Source organism: Homo sapiens, chromosome 2, assembly GCF_000001405.40.
Source record: "Homo sapiens chromosome 2, GRCh38.p14 Primary Assembly".
Taxonomy (NCBI): domain Eukaryota; kingdom Metazoa; phylum Chordata; class Mammalia; order Primates; family Hominidae; genus Homo; species Homo sapiens.
The window spans coordinates 206,006,758-206,027,329 of record NC_000002.12 but is presented as its reverse complement, the minus strand read 5'-3'; the positions used below and the strand labels follow the sequence as shown (position 1 = coordinate 206,027,329).

The following is a 20,572-nucleotide window of genomic DNA, read 5'->3' as shown; positions in this document are numbered from 1 at the left end:
AAATTCCTTCTGTTTATAATGCAAATACTTGTTTATTGTGGAAAATTTTAAAAATACACAAATGAGAAGGGAAAAATCTTCTTGTTACCATTCATGAGAGAGAGAATGAGCACTGTTAACATTTTGATTCTGTTTCCTTCTAGTCTTTCTCTGTGTGTGTGTGTGTGTGTGTGCGCGTGCGCGCGTGCGTGTGTAAATTTTCCAGTGAGCCATGTGTTTATATTAAAAAGCAAAATTGAAATCATGTTATCTGTATTATTTTCATTTATTTCCGTAAATGCTCTTTTCCTTTTATCACTGAATTATGACCACTTTCTCATGAGATTAATTCTTAATTATTAATTAATGACATTCTCATGACAATAATTTGAGTTTTCTAGTTTTCCCTCAAAAGTATACCATAGCCATTTCCCTATGTTCTTCAAGATTCTTTTGAAAACAGGATTTATAATGTTTACATAATATTCCATTCGTGAAAATCTGTATATCAGAAATGTAGAGTTATCTGATATTTTAGAAATTTGGCATATTACCATTTTGGTGGTAATGGTGAAAACCTTAGTACAGTAATACCTTTGTTTATACCTATAAAATTTTTAAAAAATACAAAGTTATATTTTCTAAACTGATTATGGAATTCTGTTATATATATAAATATAAAATATCTGTTATATATAAAATATATATAATATCTGTTGTGTATATATAAATACATATTTAACACAATTTTGTTTTTTATATATATTTTAATTATGGCTATTTTTCTTTTTTTTAATTTTTTTTTGAGACGGAGCCTTGCCCTGTCACCCAGGCTGGAGTGAAGTGGCACGATCTTGGCTCATGGCAACCTCTGCCTCCCTGGTTCAAGCAATTCTTCTGTCTCAGCCTCCCAAGTAGCTGGGATTACAGGTGCCCGCCATCATGCCAAGCCAATTTTTGTATTTTTAGTAAAGATGGGGTTTCACCATGTTGGCCAGGCTGGTCTTGAACTCCTGACCTCAAGTGATCTGCCCACCTTGGCCTCCCAAAGTCCTGGGATCACAGGCATGAGCCACTGCCCCTGCCTGGTTATTACTTTTAACTGAAATACACATTTAAAGCACTAAATTGAATTTTAAAATTTCAAAACATGGCTGGGTGCAGTGGCTCACACCTGTAATCCCAGCACTTTGGTAGGCTGAGGTGGGTAGATCACTTGAGGTCACGAATTCGAGATTAGCCTGGACAACGTGATGAGACCCCATCTCTACTAAAAAATACAAAAATTAGCCAGGTGTGGTGGCGTGCACCTGTAGTCCTAGCTACTAGGAACGTTGAGGTGGGAGGATGGCTTTAGCCTGGGAGTAGGAGGTTGCAGTGAGCAGAGATCACACCATTGTGCTCTAGCCTGGGCGACAGAGTGGGACTGCCTTCCAAAAAAAAAAATTTCAAAACATTATCTTACTTTAAGGAAATAGAGTTCAAATTCTGATTCTTTTTGTTGTCGTTCAGACAAGGTCTCAGTCTGTCGCCCAGGCTGGAATTCAGTGGCGTAATCACGGGTCACTACAGCCTCAGCCTCCTGATAGAAGGCCAGCTTCTTTATTGAGTTTATTATTTATTATTTCACACATTTAAAAAATTTCTTTTCCTTTAAGGCTAGTCAAGTGAAGCAGTGGGAGTGGAGAAGGAGCAAAGAAATCTGTAACTAACTGGTTGTGATAAATTACTTGTAAAACCACTGCATATGGACCAGCCTATTTCACACTTTTTAGTTATTTTATATATATATATATATATATATATATTTTTTTTTTTTTTTGAGATGGAGTTTCACTCTTCTTGTGTAGGCTGGAGTGCAATGGTGCGATCTCGGCTCACTACAACCTCTGCCTCCCGGGTTCAAGCAATTCTCCTGCCTCAGCCTCCTGAGTAGCTTGGACTACAGGCACCCGCCACCACGCTTGGCTAATTTTTGTATTTTTAGTAGAAATGGAGTTTCGCCATGTTGGCCAGCCTGGTCTGGAATTCCTGACCTCAGGTGATCCACCCACCTCGGCCTCCCAAAGTGCTGGGATTACAGGCGTGAGCTACCATGCGTGGCCAGTTATTATATTTTCATATGACAACTTTTAGTACATATATAGAGAAAAAATTTAGGAATTTATGTACCAGAATATCTCTAGGTGGTGGGATTATTGATAAAATGAAAAAATTCTTAGTTTGTACAGTCTCATTTTTATGTAATGATCATAAGTCACTTGAGGGAAAAAAAGGGTTTTAAAACAAAGTGTTGGCCGGGTGCGATGGCTCATGCCTGTAATCCCAGCATGATTTGGGAGGCCGAGGTGGGCGGATCATGAGGTCAGGAGTTCGAGACCAGCCTGGCCAACATAGTGAAGCCTTGTCTCTACTAAAAACACAAAAATTAGCTGGGTGTGGTGGTGGGCACCTGTAGTCCCAGCTACTCGGGAGGCTGAGGCAGGAGAATTGCTTGAACCCAGGAGGCAGAGGTTGCAGTGAGCCGAGATTGTGCCACTGCATTCCAGGCTAGGCGACAGAGTGAGACTCCGTCTCAAACAAAAAAAAAGATAAATAAATAAAACAAAGTGTTAAAATATAACCTTTATTTTGTAGCTGTTGGTCATATTACTTATATACCTGTTTTTTGATATTTTATTTTAGTGTTGTGTATTTTGCTTTTCATTTGTTGTAATAAAGTGACCTAATTTTCAGTTGCATATCTCACATGGATGCACTGTGCCCTTAAGAGTTTTCTAGAAGTAGAACAGGTTAGAGTTGTTTGAAGTATCTAATATACCATATGTAATGGCTGCAGCCTACTCTTCCCTTACACCCAAATCACCTTGCCTGACTCCTAGACCTCTCAGTCCTCTGGATCTAGTATCTGTTCTAGAACATCCTTCAGGTCTCAGCTTACTCAGAGACTTATGTTCTTAGAGATACATTCCCTGATTCCCTGGACTATGTTAGGTTCCCTCTACTGTGTATGCCTACTGTGCTCTGTACTCTGTTTCATTGTACAATTTTATACCTATATTAACTTGTCTCTCATGCTAGACAGTAATTTCCATGAGAACAGGAAAAAGTTTGTTCCTAAATCTCCAGTATTGATGAACGAGTGAACAAAATTGAATAAATGAAGGTCTGTTCTCTATTTGTTGAAGGAATTTACTCAGTTTGACACAGGTTATAAAATAATGATAACTAACATTTATATGATATAATGCTTTCAAGTGTATACTTTTAGTAGAATTGTCCAGCATGAACCAATTTGTATGTAAATGTATATGCTGAGTCCAATATATTATTCTGATCTTGTCAAAGATATAAAAGACTATACAATGAGTTTGGGAAAATTTGGTATTTGTGTGGAAAACTGTATATATCTATGATTCTTAACTGGTTGTTTTCAGAACATCTTCCTAACTGACATCAGTGATATTTAAAAAACATTAATGATAACTGCCACAACAAACAAACAGCAAGATGGACCCTGTTATAGTTTTCAGATTGATTTGATGATATTCAGTTGTGTCACCCATGATTAGTGAAAAGTTTATGGCCCAGTGCATCGCTGATAATCATGTAACAATGTATCATAATCATTCTTTGGTGATTGGCAACTTTTTTTTTTTTTTTTTTTTTTAGATGAGTCTCACTCTGTTGCCCAGGCTGGAGTGTGGTGACACAGTCTTGGCTCACCACAACCTCCACCTCCTGGGTTCAAGCAATTCTTCTCCCTCAGCCTCCCAAGTAGCTGGGACTACAGGCATGCGCCACTATGCCCGGCTAATTTTTTGTATTTTTAGTGGAGACGGGGTTTCACTATGTTGGCTAGGCTGGTCATGAACTCCTGACCTCGTGATCTGCCTCCCCCGGCCTCCCAAAGTGGTAGGATTACAGGCATGAGCCACTGCGCCCAGCCGGCAGCTTTTTATATTACATTATATTCTAGGTTCACAAAAGTCAACTTTTAGTTGCATGCTGCCCTCTATTTGATATTTTCGGTATTAAAGTCCTAGTTTCAAAAAAAGATACATAAAAGTTTGACATTACATATTTTAGAAATTAAAAGTTTAATGGCTACCTTCTAATGTGGACCCTTTATTAATTTTTTAGTTTTTTGAGATGGAGTGTCACTCTTGTTGCCCAGGCTGGAGTGCAATGGCGCTGTCTTGGCTCCCTGCAAGCTCCGCCTCCCGGATTCAAGTGGTTCTCCTGCCTCAACCTCCCAAGTAGCTGGGATTACAGGCACCCTTTACCACGTCTGGCTAATTGTTTTGTATTTTTTGTAGAGACAGGATTTCACCATGTTGGCCAAGCTGGTCTCGAACTCCTGACCTCAGGTACTCTGCCTGCCTTGGCCTCCCAAAGTGCTGGGATTACAAACATGAGCCACTGCGCCCGGCCTGGATCCTTTAAAATAGAGTTCGTTGGCCAGGCATGGTGGCTGGGTGTGGTGGCATGCGCCTGTAGTCTCAGCTACTTGGGAGGCTGCTGTGGGAGAATTGCTTGAACCCGGGAGGCAGAACTTGCAGTGAGCTGAGATTGCACCATTGCACTCCAGCCTGGGTGACAGAGGGAGACTCCTTCTCAATAAAATAAAATATAGTTTGTATACAAGCTAAATAATGTTAGTCTTTCCTATCAAATAACTTTGTCGTATTTATTGATGAGTAAGTGGAATAAGCCATTGAAATAGCTTCAAATATGTGAACCCAAATTAAGTATCTTGCAGCCCACAATCATACAGTGACTAATGTTTGTATGGAAACATCATTATTTATGGGGGGTGCAATAGGGCATGTCAAAGGGAATCCTGTAGTAGATTTTTTAAATATGAAAAACATGAAAAAGTTTTGGTAATTCCCTTTGTTTGTTGGGCTTATTTGGATAATAAAATATATCTAACATTACATCAAGCATTTTCACATTAATTTTTTTTTATTTTTTATTTTTTGAGACAGAGTTCTGCTCTGTTGCCCAGGCTGGAGTGCAATGGTGTGATCTCGGCTCACTGCAACCTCCACCTCCTGGGTTCAAGTGATTCTCCTACCTCAGCCTCCCGAGTAGCTGGGATTACAGGTGCCCGCCACCATGCCCAGCTAATTTTTTTTGTATTTTTAGTAGAGACGGGGTTTCACTGTGTTGGCCAGGCTGGTCTCGAACTCCTGACCTTGTGATCCGCCTGCCTCAGCCTCCCAAAGTGCTGGGATTACTGGGTGAGCCACTGTGTCTGGCCATTTTTACCTTAATTTGTCCATGGGGTTATTGAAACAAGGCAAGTTTAAAAAATGAAACCAATAGTTATTTTGTAAGTTTGGAATAAAGAAAATGAGGGAATGTATTGTACACTAGTCTTTGAAGATAGCTGAGCGGTTTATTAGAGTGTTTAATGAAAATTATCCATTCAGGCAGGGTGTGGTGACTCATGCCAGTAATCCCAGCACTTTGGGAGGCTGAGGCAGGTGGATCACCTGAGGTCAGGAGTTCAAGACCAGCCCAGCCAACATGGTGAAACCACGTCTCTACTAAAAATATAAAAAATTAACAAGGCATGGTGGCAGGTGCCTGTAATCCCAGCTACTTGGGAGGCTGAGGCAGGGGAATCACCTGAACCCGGGAGGTGAGGGTTGCAGTGAGTCGAGATCGCACCATTGCACTCCAGCCTGGGCAACAAGCAAAACTCCGTCTCAAAATAAAAAAAGAGAAGTATCCCTTTAATATGGAGACCTTTCTATTTAAATCTAGACCAAGAGAATTTGAGCTTAGCTGCCAGAATAGTAAAGGTTTATTTATTTGAAATTATATATTCCTTTTATAGGGCTAAATTTAATGTAAACAATTTTTTAAAGAAACAATGGATAAACTATTAGGAATAAACTGTTTAGTTCTATGATGATCCACTTCCCTATTCTTATAATCGTGACAAATCTTGTAGACATCTTAGTTAAGGCAGGTTTTAAGGCAACACCATGGACATATAAACAGTGTTTACAGTTTATATGAAATTAATAACTACGGTAGAAGTATTTATATTTTGTGTAAATTCATATGTAATTTAGATTCTGTGTGGCCTTACCTAATTAGTGTCAATAATTCCATTGAAACCCTGAGAAAGATACTAGAAACAAACAACTCAAAAGATTTTTTGTTTGTGATATCTGACTTGAACTCAGTATGTTAAGTAGATTTTTTTCCTCATACTCAGACTTGTAAAGGCCTAATGGTTTGTGATGCTTTATAGAGTCACGTAGATGGGATAGGTTTTGTACTTGTAAGAATTGTCTTTTTTCTTTTTCTTTTTCTTTTTTTCAATAGAGATGGGGATCTCCCTATGTTGCCCAGACTGGTCTCAAACTCCTGGGCTCAAGCGATCCTTTTTGATTTTGGGAGCCCTCCTCTGCCTCCCAAAGTGCTGGGATTACAGTCATGAACCACTGCACCTGGCCCACTTCTAAGAATTTAAATGTTATTTATTTGTGTTTTTATATGTTTGTGTAAAGAAACTGGAAGGATCTGCAGACTAATAAAATGAATACGTATTATAGAGGGAGTGGGGGCTGGCAAATTAGGGGGCAAGGGCAAGAAGTCGATTCTTCACTGCCTAGCATTCTTTCATTTTTTTATGGATCCATGTGAATGCATTGCTTATTCATAAGATTTTAAATGAGTTAAAATATTTAAACATTAAGTGTACAAAGTGGAGATAAAAAAAAATTTAAATAATGAAACATGGATTGCACATATAATAGAAAGTTTAAAAAATAGATCTAAAGTGAGTTCACTTTGGAGGATAAAAGCCACTCAGCCATTTCTGCGTATCAGTATCCTCTTCCCCATGTATGAGATGAAGAGTTTTTTTGCAGATTTATGGGTTTAGTAGCATGAGGCAATCAATTCCTAATGGTGGCGATAATCATAGTCATGACTAACAACCACTGACTGTTTACTGTGTAATACTATATACTGTATATAAGTGGTTTAGATGTGATTAATCCTTTTATGCTCCCAACAACCCTGCCAGCTCAAGGTACCTTATTGTCTCTACTTTACAGGTGAGAAAATTGGGGTTTAAATGAGGCTGAGCAACATGCCCATAGTCACACAGCTAGTAAGAGGGAGAGCTGAGATTCAAAACCAGGTCCATCTGATTCTTCTCTCATGTTCTTCATCACTTTTCTCTACTGTCTCTTTGTGAAGAAAAGGGAAATAAAACATCACTTAAAAAAAAAAACAGACATACTTGAAACATATTCTGATGTAATTATCAGCTTTGAATGTCAGAAGATTAGGGAAATAACACAATTGGTAATTGTAATACCGTCTTTCTTTAAATCACATTTGCATTTTATTTAGTGACTGTAGATGTTATATATATTATAATGAGAGTGTTACAGAGTTGTGACATCATGTTGAAAAATTACCCTGGATTCTTAAAGCATTAAAAAAAAATTAATTCTCTGTTTTTCTTTCCTTAGCATAAGCCGGACCAAGCTGAGGGAGGTGGAACCAGCAGCATGCAGTGGAACCGTGAAGGGTGAACAGTGCGCTAACAAAGCCCTTCCATTCACCAGACATTGTTTCCAACGTATCCTTTCAACTAAATGGAATGTGCATTGAAAAAGTACTACCTAATTTGGGGCTGTATATTTCATTTTTAATTCAAGTGAATGACTTTTGAAACCATAACTGTTTAATGTTTAAAATAATTTTATCGAACATAATTTTCATGATGTCCTCTGAATAATTTTTCTTGTTTTACTCAAAAATCACAAAAAATAAGCAAAATTGATAGCAAATAGCAGGTTCCTCCAGTGTCTGTCACTTAATTATATTTTGTTAATAGAATTCTGGTCCCTCAGGTGGTTCCTAGTAGCTTGTAAGAAGGAGCTATAACACTCATTAATGGAAAAAATCAAATCACATTATTTAAAATCTGTTTTTAGTCTTCTAAGACAGTTACACAGTTTTACAGAACTTTTTCCTGTAAGATTAGTTTACTCTTTTTAATGAGTACAGTGCTGATTTGAAATGAATGAAAGGTAACAAACATCACTGCCTAGGAAAGAAGATCTCTTTTAAAGTATACTTGAAGAAAACCTATGTTAAAGAGCTTTAGGTTGGTGATGAAATCTTATTGCTGTGACTTTTATTGAGTATTTAAAATCAGGTAGCATGTAAAAATAGCAGCAATTACTTATCTTTACCATCTATTTAATTGTTGCCCTCCTTTCTGTTCTTGGAACAGCTTGTTCAGCAGCACTTTCTATGTAATAAAGGCTTTATAGTTTTACCTAAAAACCATAAAGGAAAAACACAAAGGCACTTAATAGATATAAGGTAAGTGTTAAGGAAATGTAGTAGCTAAAAGTATGAGTGCTTAAAAATATTGATGATGTAAAGCTCATGTTTGTTTGTTTAGAGGCAGGATCTCACTCTGTCACCCCGGCTGAAGTGCAGTGGCACGATCACAGCTCACTGCAGCCTCGACCTCCCTGGGCTCAGGTGATCTTTGCATCACAGCCTCCTGAGTACCTGGGACTACAGGCATGCACCACCATGCCTGACTAATTTTTGTACTTTTTTGTTGCCCAGGCTGATCCTGAACTTCTGAGGCTCAATAAATCAACCCACCTTAGCCTCCCACAGTGCTGGGAGTATAGGTGTGAGCCACTGTGCCTGGCCAATAGTGAAGTTTTGATTTAAAAGTAATTTTTCATGGGTTGTGAGTTTGAGTTTGTTGCTGGAAGTGTGAAGCAAAATATTCAAATTTGGAAAGATGAGTTTCTAATAACTATATCTTTAAATTTTTATTCTTGGTAAGTATCATAGGCAGAAAATTTTCCTTTTAAGAGCTGTTTAAAAAAAGAAAACCATTGGCCAGGTGCAGTGGCTTATGCCTATAATCTCAACGCTTTGGGAGGCTGAGGCGGCTAGATCACTTGAGGTCAGGAGTTCGAGACCAGCCTGGCCAATATGGTGAAACCCTGTCTCTACTAAAAATACAATAAATTATCTGGATGTGGTGACAGATGCCTGTAATCCCAGTTACTCGGGAGGCTGAGACAGGAGAATCACTTGCTTGAACCCGGGAGGCCGAGGTGGCAGTGAGCTGAGATCGTGCCATTGCACTCCAGCCTGGGCAACAGAGTGACTTCATCTCAAAACAAAAAACAAAACAAAAAAAACATGAAGTGGAACTTTAAGTGGAGTTCACATGTTAAGAAGGAAATGGCCCTGCTTTTCCAAATAACACAATTTGGTTCAGAATGGTCATTAAGGAGACTGGTGCCAGGGTCTCATTAGCAAAATAGAGTCCTTCAGAGTTGTCATCTGATAAATTCTATTATTTTCCCATATCAGTAGTTGAGCTAGTACTGATATGGGTAATATTTATATTATGGATAATAAAGCTTGTACTTATGAAATGTAAGGGAACAAGCAAATTTTATATAGAAATTGAAAAATTAGAGTTTCAGTGTATTTTACTCCTAACTTAAAAAAACCCAGATATCCTCTTGAACCACTCTCAGCAGCTCTTCTCAAGTTGCACAGCCAAGTTTGCAGATGGACAGCAGTGCTCTGTGCCAGTTTTTGACATTACACATCAGACACCTCTGTGTGAAGAACATGCCAAAAAAATGGTAAGTTCTGCAACAGAGGCTTTCAAACTTTTTGTAGCTATCCACTGTAGGAAGTATTTTATAACTTAGCACAAACTATGTATGTATATAAATCACTGAAACAAGTTTTGAGAGAGGATTTTTATTCCCTTAAGATACATTTTATTACCTTAAGATATGTATCTTATACATAGCAGAATTTCTAAATACTCTCTTTGTTCCTATGTCTCTAAGTTTTTGCTTTCTTATATACAATTCTACAAATGTCATGAATAGTTGATGAAACTTCAATCGAAGGCCCAGCCTTTCTAGAAATCTATTGAATGTAATTATTGCTTTAGTTAATGCTAGTTATCATAAATCCTAATTAATTCAGAATAATTTGGAGGAGAGACAGATTTGAATTTGAGGAATATCTAAATTATATAATCATTTAAAGGAAGTTCATTTTTATTGTTTTCATCCATCAAGCAGTTACTGCAAGATACTTTCCTAGGTACCTTATGTACTAGAAAGTGAGATACTTCCTGCCCTCTATAAACATGTTATAGTTTTCAGGGATTCTCAGGGTGAGGGAATGGGTATTAGACCAGGACTTAATAGTTGGAACCTGTGATCCTGGCTTTGCCACCAGCTTGGTATATAACTAGGGGCTAAGGATTCAGCCTTTTTGGACCTCAGTCTCAATGTGTGTGATTCACTGGTGTATTAGTCCGTTTTCATGCCTCTGGGAAAGACATACCTGAGACTGGGCAGTTTACAAAAGAAAGAGGTTTAATTGGACTCACAGTTCTATGTGGCTGGGGAGGCCTCAAAATCATGGTGGAAGGCAAGGAGGAGTAAGTCATATCTTACATGGATGGAGGCAGGCAAAAATAGAGTTTGTGTAGGGCGACTCCCATTTATAAAACCATCAGATCACATGAGACCCATTCACTATTACAAGAACAACAGGAAAGACAACAGGAAAGACCTGCCCCATAATTCAGTCGTCTCCCACCAGGTCCCTCCCACAACACGTGGGAATTATGGGAGCTACAAGATGAGATTTGGGTGGGGACACAGAGTCAAACCGTATCATTCTGCCCTGGCACATCCCAAATAGCATATCTTCACATTGTAATACCTTCACATTGTAATCATGCCTTCCCAACAGTCCTCCAAAGTCTCAGCTCATTTCAGCATTAACTCAAAAGTTTCAGCATTAACTCAAAAGTCCACAGTCCAAAGTCTCATCTGAGACAAGGCAAGTCTCTTCTGCCTATGAGCCTGTAAAATCAAAAGCAAGTTAGTTACTTCCTAGATACAATGGGGGTACAGCCATTGGGTAAATACAGCTGTTCCAAATGGGAGAAATTGGCCAAAACAAAGGGGCTACAGGCTCCATGCAAGTCTGAAATCCAGTGGACAATCAAATCGAAAAGCTCCAAAATCATCTCCTTTGACTTCATGTCTCACATCCAGGTCAAGCTCATGCAAAACATAGGTTCCCATAATCTTGGGCAGGTCTGCCCCTGTGACTTTGCAGGGTATAGCCCCTCTCCTGGCTGTTTTCATGGGCTGGCATTGAGTATCTGCTGCTTTTCCAGGTGCATGGTGCAAGCTGTCAGTAGATCTACCATTCTGGGGTCTGGAGGATGGTGGCCCTCTTCTCACAGCTCCACTAGGTGGTGTCCCAGTAGGGACTCTGTGTGGAGGCTCCCACCCACATTTTCCTTCTGCACTATTCTAGCAGAGGTTCCCCTGGAGGGCCCCACTCCTACAGCAAACTTCTGCCTGGGCATCCAGGCATTTCTATACATTTTTTTTTTTTGGAGACAGAGTCTCACTCTGTCACCCAGGCTGCAGTGCAGTGGTTTGATCTTGGCTCACTGCAACCTCTGCTTTCAAGGTTTAAGCAATTCTTGTGCCTCAGCCTCCCAAGTAGCTGGGATTACAGGCGTGTGCCACCACGCTTGGCTAATTTGTGTGTATTTTTAGCAGAGACAGGGTTTCACCATGTTGGCCAGGGTGGTCTCAAACTCCTGACCTCAGGTGATCTGCCCGCCTCAGCCTCCCATAGTGCTGAGATTACAGGCGTGAGCCACCATGCCCAGACAGACTGTTTCTATACATCTTCTGTATTCTAGGCGGAGGTTCCCAAGCCTCAATTCTTGACTTCTGTGCACTTGCAGGCTGAACACTATGTAGAAGCTGCCAAGGCTTGGGGCTTCCACCCTCTGAAACAACAGCCTGAGCTCTACCTTGCTCCCTTTTAGCCATGGCTGGAGTGGTTGGAATGCAGGGTACCAAGTCCTTAGGCTGCACAGAGCACGGGAGCCCTGGGTTTGGCCCATGAAACCATCTTTTCCTCCTAGGCCTCCAGGCCTATGATGGGAGGGGCTGCCGAGAAGACATCTGACGTGCCCTGGAGACATTTTCCCCATTGTCTTGGGGATTAACATTCAGCTCCTTGTTAATTATGCAAATTTCTGCAGCTGGATTGAATTTCTGCTCAGAAAGTGGGATTTTCTTTTCTACTGCATTGTCAGGCTGCAAATTTTCCAAACTTTTATTCTATATTTCCCTTTTAAAACTGAATGCTTCTAATAGCACCCAAGTCACCTCTTGAATGCTTTGCTGCTTAGAAATTTCTTCTGCCAGATACCCTAGATCATCTCTCTCAAGTTCAAAGTTCCATAAGTCTTTAGGGCAGGGGCAAAATGTTGCCAGTCTCTTTGCTAAAACATAACAAGAGTCACCTTTGCTCCAGTTCTCAACAAGTTCCTCATCTCCTTCTGAGACCACCTCAGCCTGGATTTCATTGTCCATATCACTATCAGCATTTTTGTCAAAGCCATTCAACAAGTGTCCAGTGAGTTCCAAACTTTCCCACATTTTTCTGTCTTCTTCTGAGCCCTCCAAACTGTTCCAGCCTCTGCCTGTTACCCAGCTCCAAAGTTGGTTCCACATTTTTGGGTATCTTTTCAGCAGCACCCCACTCTACTGGTACCAATTTGCTATATTAGTCTGTTTTTGTGCTGCTGATAAAGACATACCTGAGACTGGGCAATTTAAAAAAAAAAAGAGGTTTAATTGGATTCACAGTTCCACGTGGCTGGGGAGGCCTCACAATCACGGCAGAAGGCAAGGAGGGACAAGTCACATCTCACATGGATGGTGGCAGGCAAAAAGAGCTCGTGCAGGGCAACTCCCATTTTTAAAGCCATCAGATCTGTGAGACCCATTCACTATTACGAGAACAACAGGGGAAAGACCTGCCCCCATAGTTCAGTCATCTCCCACTGTCTCCCTCCCACAACACGTGGGAATTATGGGAGCTACAAGATGAAATTTGGGTGGGGACACAGAACCAAACCAGATCAACTGGCTTCTTCACCAAGAACTTGTTTTATTTTTTAGGTTTCTTTTACAGACAATATGTTTTGAAAAATTTGTATACTAAACTACATATTACAATTACATATTACAAATGTTGAATAATTATTTTCCCACTTTAATATAAAAACATTTAAAATATAGGTTGTTTTTTTTTTTTTTTTTGAGATGGAGTTTTACTCTGTCACCCAGGCTGGAGTGCAGTGGTGCAATCTTGGCTCACTGCAACCTCCGCCTCCTGGGTTCAAGTGATTCTTGCACCTCAACCTCCCGAGTAGCTGGATTACAGGCGCATGCCACCATGCTGCCTAATTTTTGTTTTTTTTAGTAGAGAAAGCGTTTTTCCATGTTGGCCAGGCTGGTCTTGAACTCCTGACCTCAGGTGATCCACCCGGCTTGGTCTCCCAAAGTGCTGGGATTACAGGCATGAGCCACCATGCCCAGCGAATATAGGCTTTTTTTTTTTTTTTTTTTAAGCTTACTCAGGCTTTGTCATAGCTAAGGAATAATTTCTATATGCTTTTTGAACCACTTTTGTGGACCTTCATTGATGATTTCACAGACCCATGGTAATGTGGGCCCTGTAGCTTTCAAATCACGAAATAAATGATCCCAGCTGCATATTTTCATTTTAAAGTTCCACCATTCCGGCATACTTCTAAGATACTGAGGAAGATACTGTTAAGTAGAAAAAACTGTACTTCAGTGTCTGCTTTAGGAACTTATTATGAATGAATTTTTGGTTCCTATAACAATTTTTTTTTTTTTTTTGAGATGGAGTCTTGCTTTATCACCCAGGCTGGAGTGCAGTGGTGAGATCTCGGCTCACTGCAAGCTCCACCTCCCGGGTTCACGCCATTCTTCTGTCTCAGCCTCCCAAGTAACTGGGACTACAGGTGCCTGCCACCACGCCTGGCTAATTTTTGTATTTTTAGTAGAGATGAGGTTTCACCATGTTAGCCAGGAAGATCTCGATCTCCTGACCTCATGATCCGCCCACCTTGGCCTCCCAAAGTGCTGGGATTACAGGCGTAAGCCACCGCGCCTGGCCTCCTATAACCATTATTATGTGAATGCTTTTAGAGAAATTGAATGCAGTTTTATTCTTTTCAGCTAGTTAAACTTTCCTACTTAGGCAAATTCAATGAGGCAAACCTAAGACTGAATTAGTATAATGTAAATTAGTCATAAAATAATATATATTTTATATAACAATCAAAATTATACTAATCAAATTTTTTTCAAGTATTTAAAATACAAATTTTTGAAAATGGTTTTCTCTCTGAAGACAGTTAGAATCTGGCAGTAGTTTGAGCTATTTTTGTTTTAGGTTAAAAATTACATAAGAGACTATAAGAAGCACTTGTACCCCATCAGTGCTCCTATGAGAGACTGACACTGGGAGATGAAAAGTATGTGCAAATCTAGGCTCTGGTTTTTTTTTTTTTTTTTTTTGAGACAAGTCTCTCTTTGTCACCCAGGTTTGAGTGCAGTGGTGCAATCTCGGCTCACTGCAACCTCTGTCTCTCAGGTTCAAGGAATTCTCCCACAGTAGCCTCCCAAGTAGCTGGGACTGCAGGCGTGTGCCACCGTGCCCAGTTAATTTTTGTATTTTTTGGTAGACATGGGGTTTTACCATGTTGGCCAGGTTGGTCTTGAGCTCCTGACCTCAAGTAATCTGCCCACCTTGGCCTCCCAAAGTGCTGGGATCTTACAGGCCTGAGCCACTGTGCCAAGCCTCTATTTTCATATTATATTCTGAATCCAAACACATTTTATAAATTTCACTGCTACCATTCTAGTTGAGGCTACCATTATCTTTGCCTGGATTATTGTAATAGTCTCCTAATTGATCTCCCTTCTTGCCATATCCCCCTGCCATAGGGGGTATGTTGTTTACATAGCAGCCAGAGTAGGCTGGGTGTGTCTATGTTCTACTTTCTTTGAATTGAATTCACTTTTGAGTGTACACTCTCAGGAGTTTTGTAGACGCATACAGTTGTATAACCACCACCTAAATCAAGATACAGAACTGCTCCCCAGATTCTCTTACACTACTCCCTTTGTGGTCATCCCTTTACTCCATCCCCACTGATCTATTTTCTGCCCCTATACTTCTGTATTTTCCAGAATGTCATAGAAAGGGAATTCTGTAGTAAGTAGCCTTTAGAGCAGGCCCTTTAGACTATACATCTGATCATATTAGCTCCATAAAATCAAAACCTGCTAATGGCTTCCCATCACATCCTCCTGCCACTGCCTCCCAAAGTGTTGGGATTATAGGCATGAGCCACCACACTTGGCCTTTTCCCAAGTTTCCGCATTGCTCACTCCTTCCTTTCATTCAGGTTTGTTACCATGTGTTGTCTCATCACACAAGTCTTCCACCTGCCTGTTACCCTGTCAGGTTTTATCCTCATACTCTACCTCATTTTTCTTCCTAACATTTGTCTGCCTAACAGTTATTCATTAGTTTGTTTATTTTCTGTATTCTCCTACTAGAATGTAAACCTCACAAGGGCAGGACCATTTTTTTGTTACTACTGTATCCCTAGCACTTAGAACAGAGATGCTCAGTAAGTAATTGTTGAATACATTAATGGTTAGGCATACCAATGGAAGGGGTTAAGATTCAGAACTAGGATGTGACAGCCATTGGTAAGAGACTCCAGCTGCAGGAAGTCCCGGCTGTCAGGCAGAACATGGGATTCCACCTTTGTAAGATCCTATGACAGATGGTGAGTGCATTGCCTTGACATAGAGGTAGAATCAGACAAAAGTTGGGAGTGAATAGTATTTCACTGTGCACTGAAGCTAGGTAAAAGAACAGCTGGCATTAGGAAAGCCTCAGGGGGTGGGGGCTCTAGCTCTCTGGAGGCGAGCAAGGCAGGTATCAGTCACAGGCTGTTCTGTGTGAAGTATCTGGCATAGTACCAAGAGTGCCACAAGGCCACTGCACACAAGCTTAGGAGAATCAGGCAGGAATCTGACCCAGGTGATCATTGGGAGCCTTACAGATAGGACTTATTTTCTCTTGGGTGAGAGCCCCCTAACTTCCTCCTGAGATCAGCACTGGTGCTGGAGGGAAAGCCTGGAATGGATGCTGAGCACAATGTTCGGGTACTGGCCCTTGCGCATTCACCATTTGTTGAGTTAAATAGTGGACATAATACAAGTAGACCTCAAGTGTTGAGACAAAAAGAACTACAGAGTCTGAGAAGTAGCCTTTTTTTTTTTTTTTTTTGAGACTGAGTTTCGCTTTTGTTGCCCAGGCTGAAGTGCAATGGCATAATCTCAGCTCACTGCAACCTCTGCCTCCCGGGTTCAAGCAATTCCGTTGCCTCAGCCTCCCAAGTAGCTAGGATTACATGCACGTGTCACCAGGCCTGGCTAATTTTTGTATTTTTATTAGAGATGGAGTTTCGCCATGTTGGCCAGGCTGGTCTCGAACTCCTGACCTCAGGTGATCCACCCACCTCGGCTCCCAAAGTGCTGGGATTACAGGTGTGAGCCACTGCGTCTGGCCAGAGGTAGCCTCTTTTTTTTGGTTTGTTTTAAATTTATGTATTTGTGACTTAATCTGTAATTGTTTACATTCAAGCATTTGAGTAGGATTAAACCTGTTTTAGATTTCCTGAATTTATGCTTTAATTTTATTCTTTCTTGTTTTCAATTTTTTGATGCTAGTGATAGTTATTAGTCTTAAAATACTATGGTCTACAATCTTTATTTAGCTACAAGAGTTATTAGGGAATTAATTAAAGGTGACATCAATTGCAAATCCCACTGTTTTATGTGCCAATAAGAAAGAAAAAAAATGTTGCCAGTGATGCGGTACTTTCTTATCACTTAGAATTTTTGTTTTCAACTTATTAAAGAGCTTTTAAAAGACTTATTTAGACATAGATTTTTATATACTGTTCCTGGTTTTGGCTGTACTGCTTGACATGTGAAAGGCAGTATTTTCTACGTACTTCAGCAATAGAACAACTTCATCTACTTTGTGGTTATTTTCCTTTTTCACTTGGTTGTTGCCTTACAGGGAAAAAAAAAAAAAAGAATTGTGGTCGGTTCTTCAGTAATGAATATGTGCTCCACTAATATTAATTTTATGCCCTGCTGCTCTTTGTGCCTTTCTACATTCACAAAAAATTTTCCTCCACACGTAGTACCAACAGTGTACAAACCTTAATTCAGAAACGATGCCAGTACAAAGAACTGGAACCGTGTGTGTGCGTGTGTGTGTGTGTGTGTGTGTGTAGACAGTGTCAACTATAATGACCATCAGCAGGCTGACCGCAATGGTAAAATGCCACCAATTTAAAATGCTTCCCAATTGCAGAGATATTAAAATGTAGATCTTGGAATTGATGAAGTTTGATGTCTTCATTATTGTTATACATAGTTTTGGGCATCCAGTATGTTTTAGGCATTATATAGAATATTAAGGGATGTAAGTATTTTTTAGGTAGCTGTCAGGTTTATCCCAGATAATCTCAATTTAAAAGCCTATTTATTCATTCCAAAGGATAATTTCTTGAGAGGAGATAACTCCCGTAAAGTTCAGCACCAGCAGCAGAGGAAACCCAGGAAAAAAACCAAGCCTCCTGCACTAACCAAAAAACACAAGAAGAAGAGAAGGCGTGGACCTCGTCGACCCCAAAAACCCATTCCACCTGCAGTCCCCCAAGGGAACCTCAGCATGCCCGCCAGCGTCTCACTGCCAGTGGAGGCCTCTCACATCCGGTCAGTGGTGCCACTGGCACCTAATTTTTCTTTACATTTTGGGATTCTTCTCAGAACATCTAGCTTCATGTGGTTATTGTAAAGTTGTCACTAGGCTACAGAAACCATTTAGTATATCAGCCTAGATTTTTTAAATAGTTTTTGGTGCAAATTTTACCTATATCTGGCTGTATTTGATCTAAAATTAAGCTTTTGCTTACAATAAAGAGAACAGACGCGAAACTGACTTTAATTGTATACTCTCAACTTAAAAAACATTTTTTTTTTCTTGAGACCAAGTCTTGCTCTGTCTCCCAGGCCAAGTGCAGTGGCGCAATCTCGGCTCCCTGCAACCTCTGCCTCCAGGGTTCAAGCGATTCTTCTGCCTCAGCCACCCTAGTCTGGGATTACAGGCATGTGCCATCACGCCCAGCTGATTTTTGTATTTTTAGTAGAGACGGGGTTTCACCATGTTGGCCAGGCTAGTCTGGAACTCTTGACCTCAAGTGATCCACCTGCCTCGGCCTCCCAAAGTGCTGGGAATACAGGCATGAACCACTATACCTAGTCTCTTAACTTTTAAAACTTTTGCAGAAATTCCATATATGTTCCAACAGAAGTATTCCATCAGAAATATGAGGCATTATTTATTTTGGCAGGGTTAAACATTTTGACCAGAAGAATGAAGCTTTTGTTTTAGCTAAGCATTTCAATTTTACCTGTTGTTAATTTCATTTCTAAAATTATTATTTCAACCAGATTTGAAATTCTACTAAAAAGCATTAAGACACACTTGATACACCAAATTGTGATTCATTGTACAAATTTGAAGTAAAAGTATTACCTAGTAGTTGTTGTTGCCTCTTAATACATGGGTGAAGGTTGCAGAAATATGACTGCATATGGTGAGGCATGTATTTTTGCAGTGACTCTACTTTCAGATTTCCTTCTTTTAAAATAGGGGAGGAGACACTGTAAGTTAGGGTTTCTCATGTTTCTGTTGAATATAAAAAACCTAGGACCAGGTGCGGTGGCTCATGCCTGTAATCCCAGCACTTTGGGAGGCCGAGGTGGGTGGATCATGATGTCAGGAGTTCGAGACCAGCCTGGCCAAGATGGTGAAACCCTATCTCTACCAAAAATACAAAAATTAGCCGGGTGTGGTGGCGAGCACCTGTAATCCCAGCTACTCAGGAGGCTGAGGCAGAAGAATCGCTGGAACACGGGAGGTGGAGGTTGCAGTGAGCCGAGATCATGCCACTGCACTCTAGCCTGGGCGACAGAGCAAGACTCCATCTCAAAAAAAAAAAAAAAAGCAAGGCATGGTGGCTCATGCCTGTAATCCCAACACTTTGGGAGGCCAAGGTGGGTGGATCACCTGAGGTCAGGAGTTCGAGACCAGCCTGGCCAGCATGGGTAAACCCCGTCTCTACTAAAAACAAACAAAAATTAGCTTGGCATAGTGGTGGGCGCTTGTAATCCCAGCTACTCTGAAGGCTGAGAAAGGAGAATCTCTTGAACTCAGGAGGTGGAGGTTGCAGTGAGCCGAGATTGCGCCATTGCACTCCAACTTGGGCAACAAGAGTGAAACTCTGTCTAAAAAAAAAAACCTAGAAGACATTAGGATTGGCTTTAGCTCAGGTGGTTACTTCCTTACTTTCCATCTGTCTAATCCCTGTGCTTGGGTTCAAGACCTGCCGGGGCTTTCTGACCTTTAAATAAAAAACCTAAAAGACATTATTAGCTTGTTTTTTGATTTTGGTTGTTTTTTTTTTTGAGACAGAGTCTCGACCTGTTGCCCAGGCTGGAGTGCAGTAGTGTGATGTCAGCTCACTGCAACCTCCGCCTCCTAGTTTCAAGTGATTCTCATGCCTTAGCCTTCTGAGTAGCTGGGATTACAAGTGTGCACCACCATGCCCAGCTAATTTTTGTATTCTTAGTAGAGACAAGGTTTTGCCATGTTGACCAGGCTGATCTCGAACTCGTGCCCTCAAGTGATCCTCTCACCTTGGCCTCCCAAAGTGCTGGGATTACAGGTGTGAGCCACTGTGCCCTGCCTGACGTTAGCTTCTTTTCATGTTGAATGAACTTGGCTTGGTGGTATTGATGTGAAGATAATGGGGGAGTTATGGGACCAACAGTGTCCTCTTTCCCAGGAGCCCATCCACGCCAGAGCTGAGTGCTGATGAGTTGCCGGATGACATTGCCAATGAGATCACTGACATTCCACATGACTTGGAATTGAACCAGGAGGACTTTTCAGATGTCCTGCCACGGCTACCTGATGACTTACAAGATTTTGATTTTTTTGAAGGTATAGTCAATATTTTGACTCAAGGAAACTGGTTTTAAAAATGAGTTTATAAGAAAAGAAATAGTGTTTTGAGATGTGTTTATCATATTCCTCCTCACATGTAATGTCTTTCACTGTAGATAGGAAATATAATGCCACTGCAGCTATTTTAACCCTTTCAGAAGATAAGGAATGTGCAGTTTGTTTAACCATCTCATAATTTGCTGACTAGGTTTATAACTTGTTTCTTTTTTCTTTGGAGACAGAGTCTCACTCTGTCGCCCAGGCTGGAGTGCAGTGGCACGATCTTGGCTCACTGCAGCTTCTGCCTCCGGGTTCAAGCGATTCTTTCGCCTCGGCCTCCCGAGTAGCTGGGATTTCAGGCATGTGCCACCACGCCTGGCTAATTTTTGTACTTCTAGTAGAGGTGGGGTTTCGCAGTGTGGGCCAGGCTGGTCTTGAACTCCTGGCCCCAAGTGATCCACCCGCCTTGGCCTCCCAAAGTGCTGGGATTACAGGCATGAGCCACCACACCTGGCCCAACGTT

General features: G+C 40.7%; 1 protein-coding gene across 8 annotated transcripts in view; it reads left to right on the top strand.

The window, feature by feature from the left end:
- INO80D (INO80 complex subunit D) overlaps nt 1–20,572 on the top strand; it is a 92,454-nt gene that overhangs the window by 58,845 nt on the left and 13,037 nt on the right. For all 8 annotated transcript variants that reach the window (XM_047444830.1, XM_011511375.3, NM_017759.5 and 5 more), the window contains 4 exons: nt 7,485–7,594; nt 9,517–9,650; nt 17,536–17,753; nt 19,889–20,046. In XM_047444830.1, coding sequence (XP_047300786.1) covers nt 7,485–7,594; nt 9,517–9,650; nt 17,536–17,753; nt 19,889–20,046 — 620 coding nt within the window. The remainder of the gene's footprint in view (nt 1–7,484; nt 7,595–9,516; nt 9,651–17,535; nt 17,754–19,888; nt 20,047–20,572) is intronic.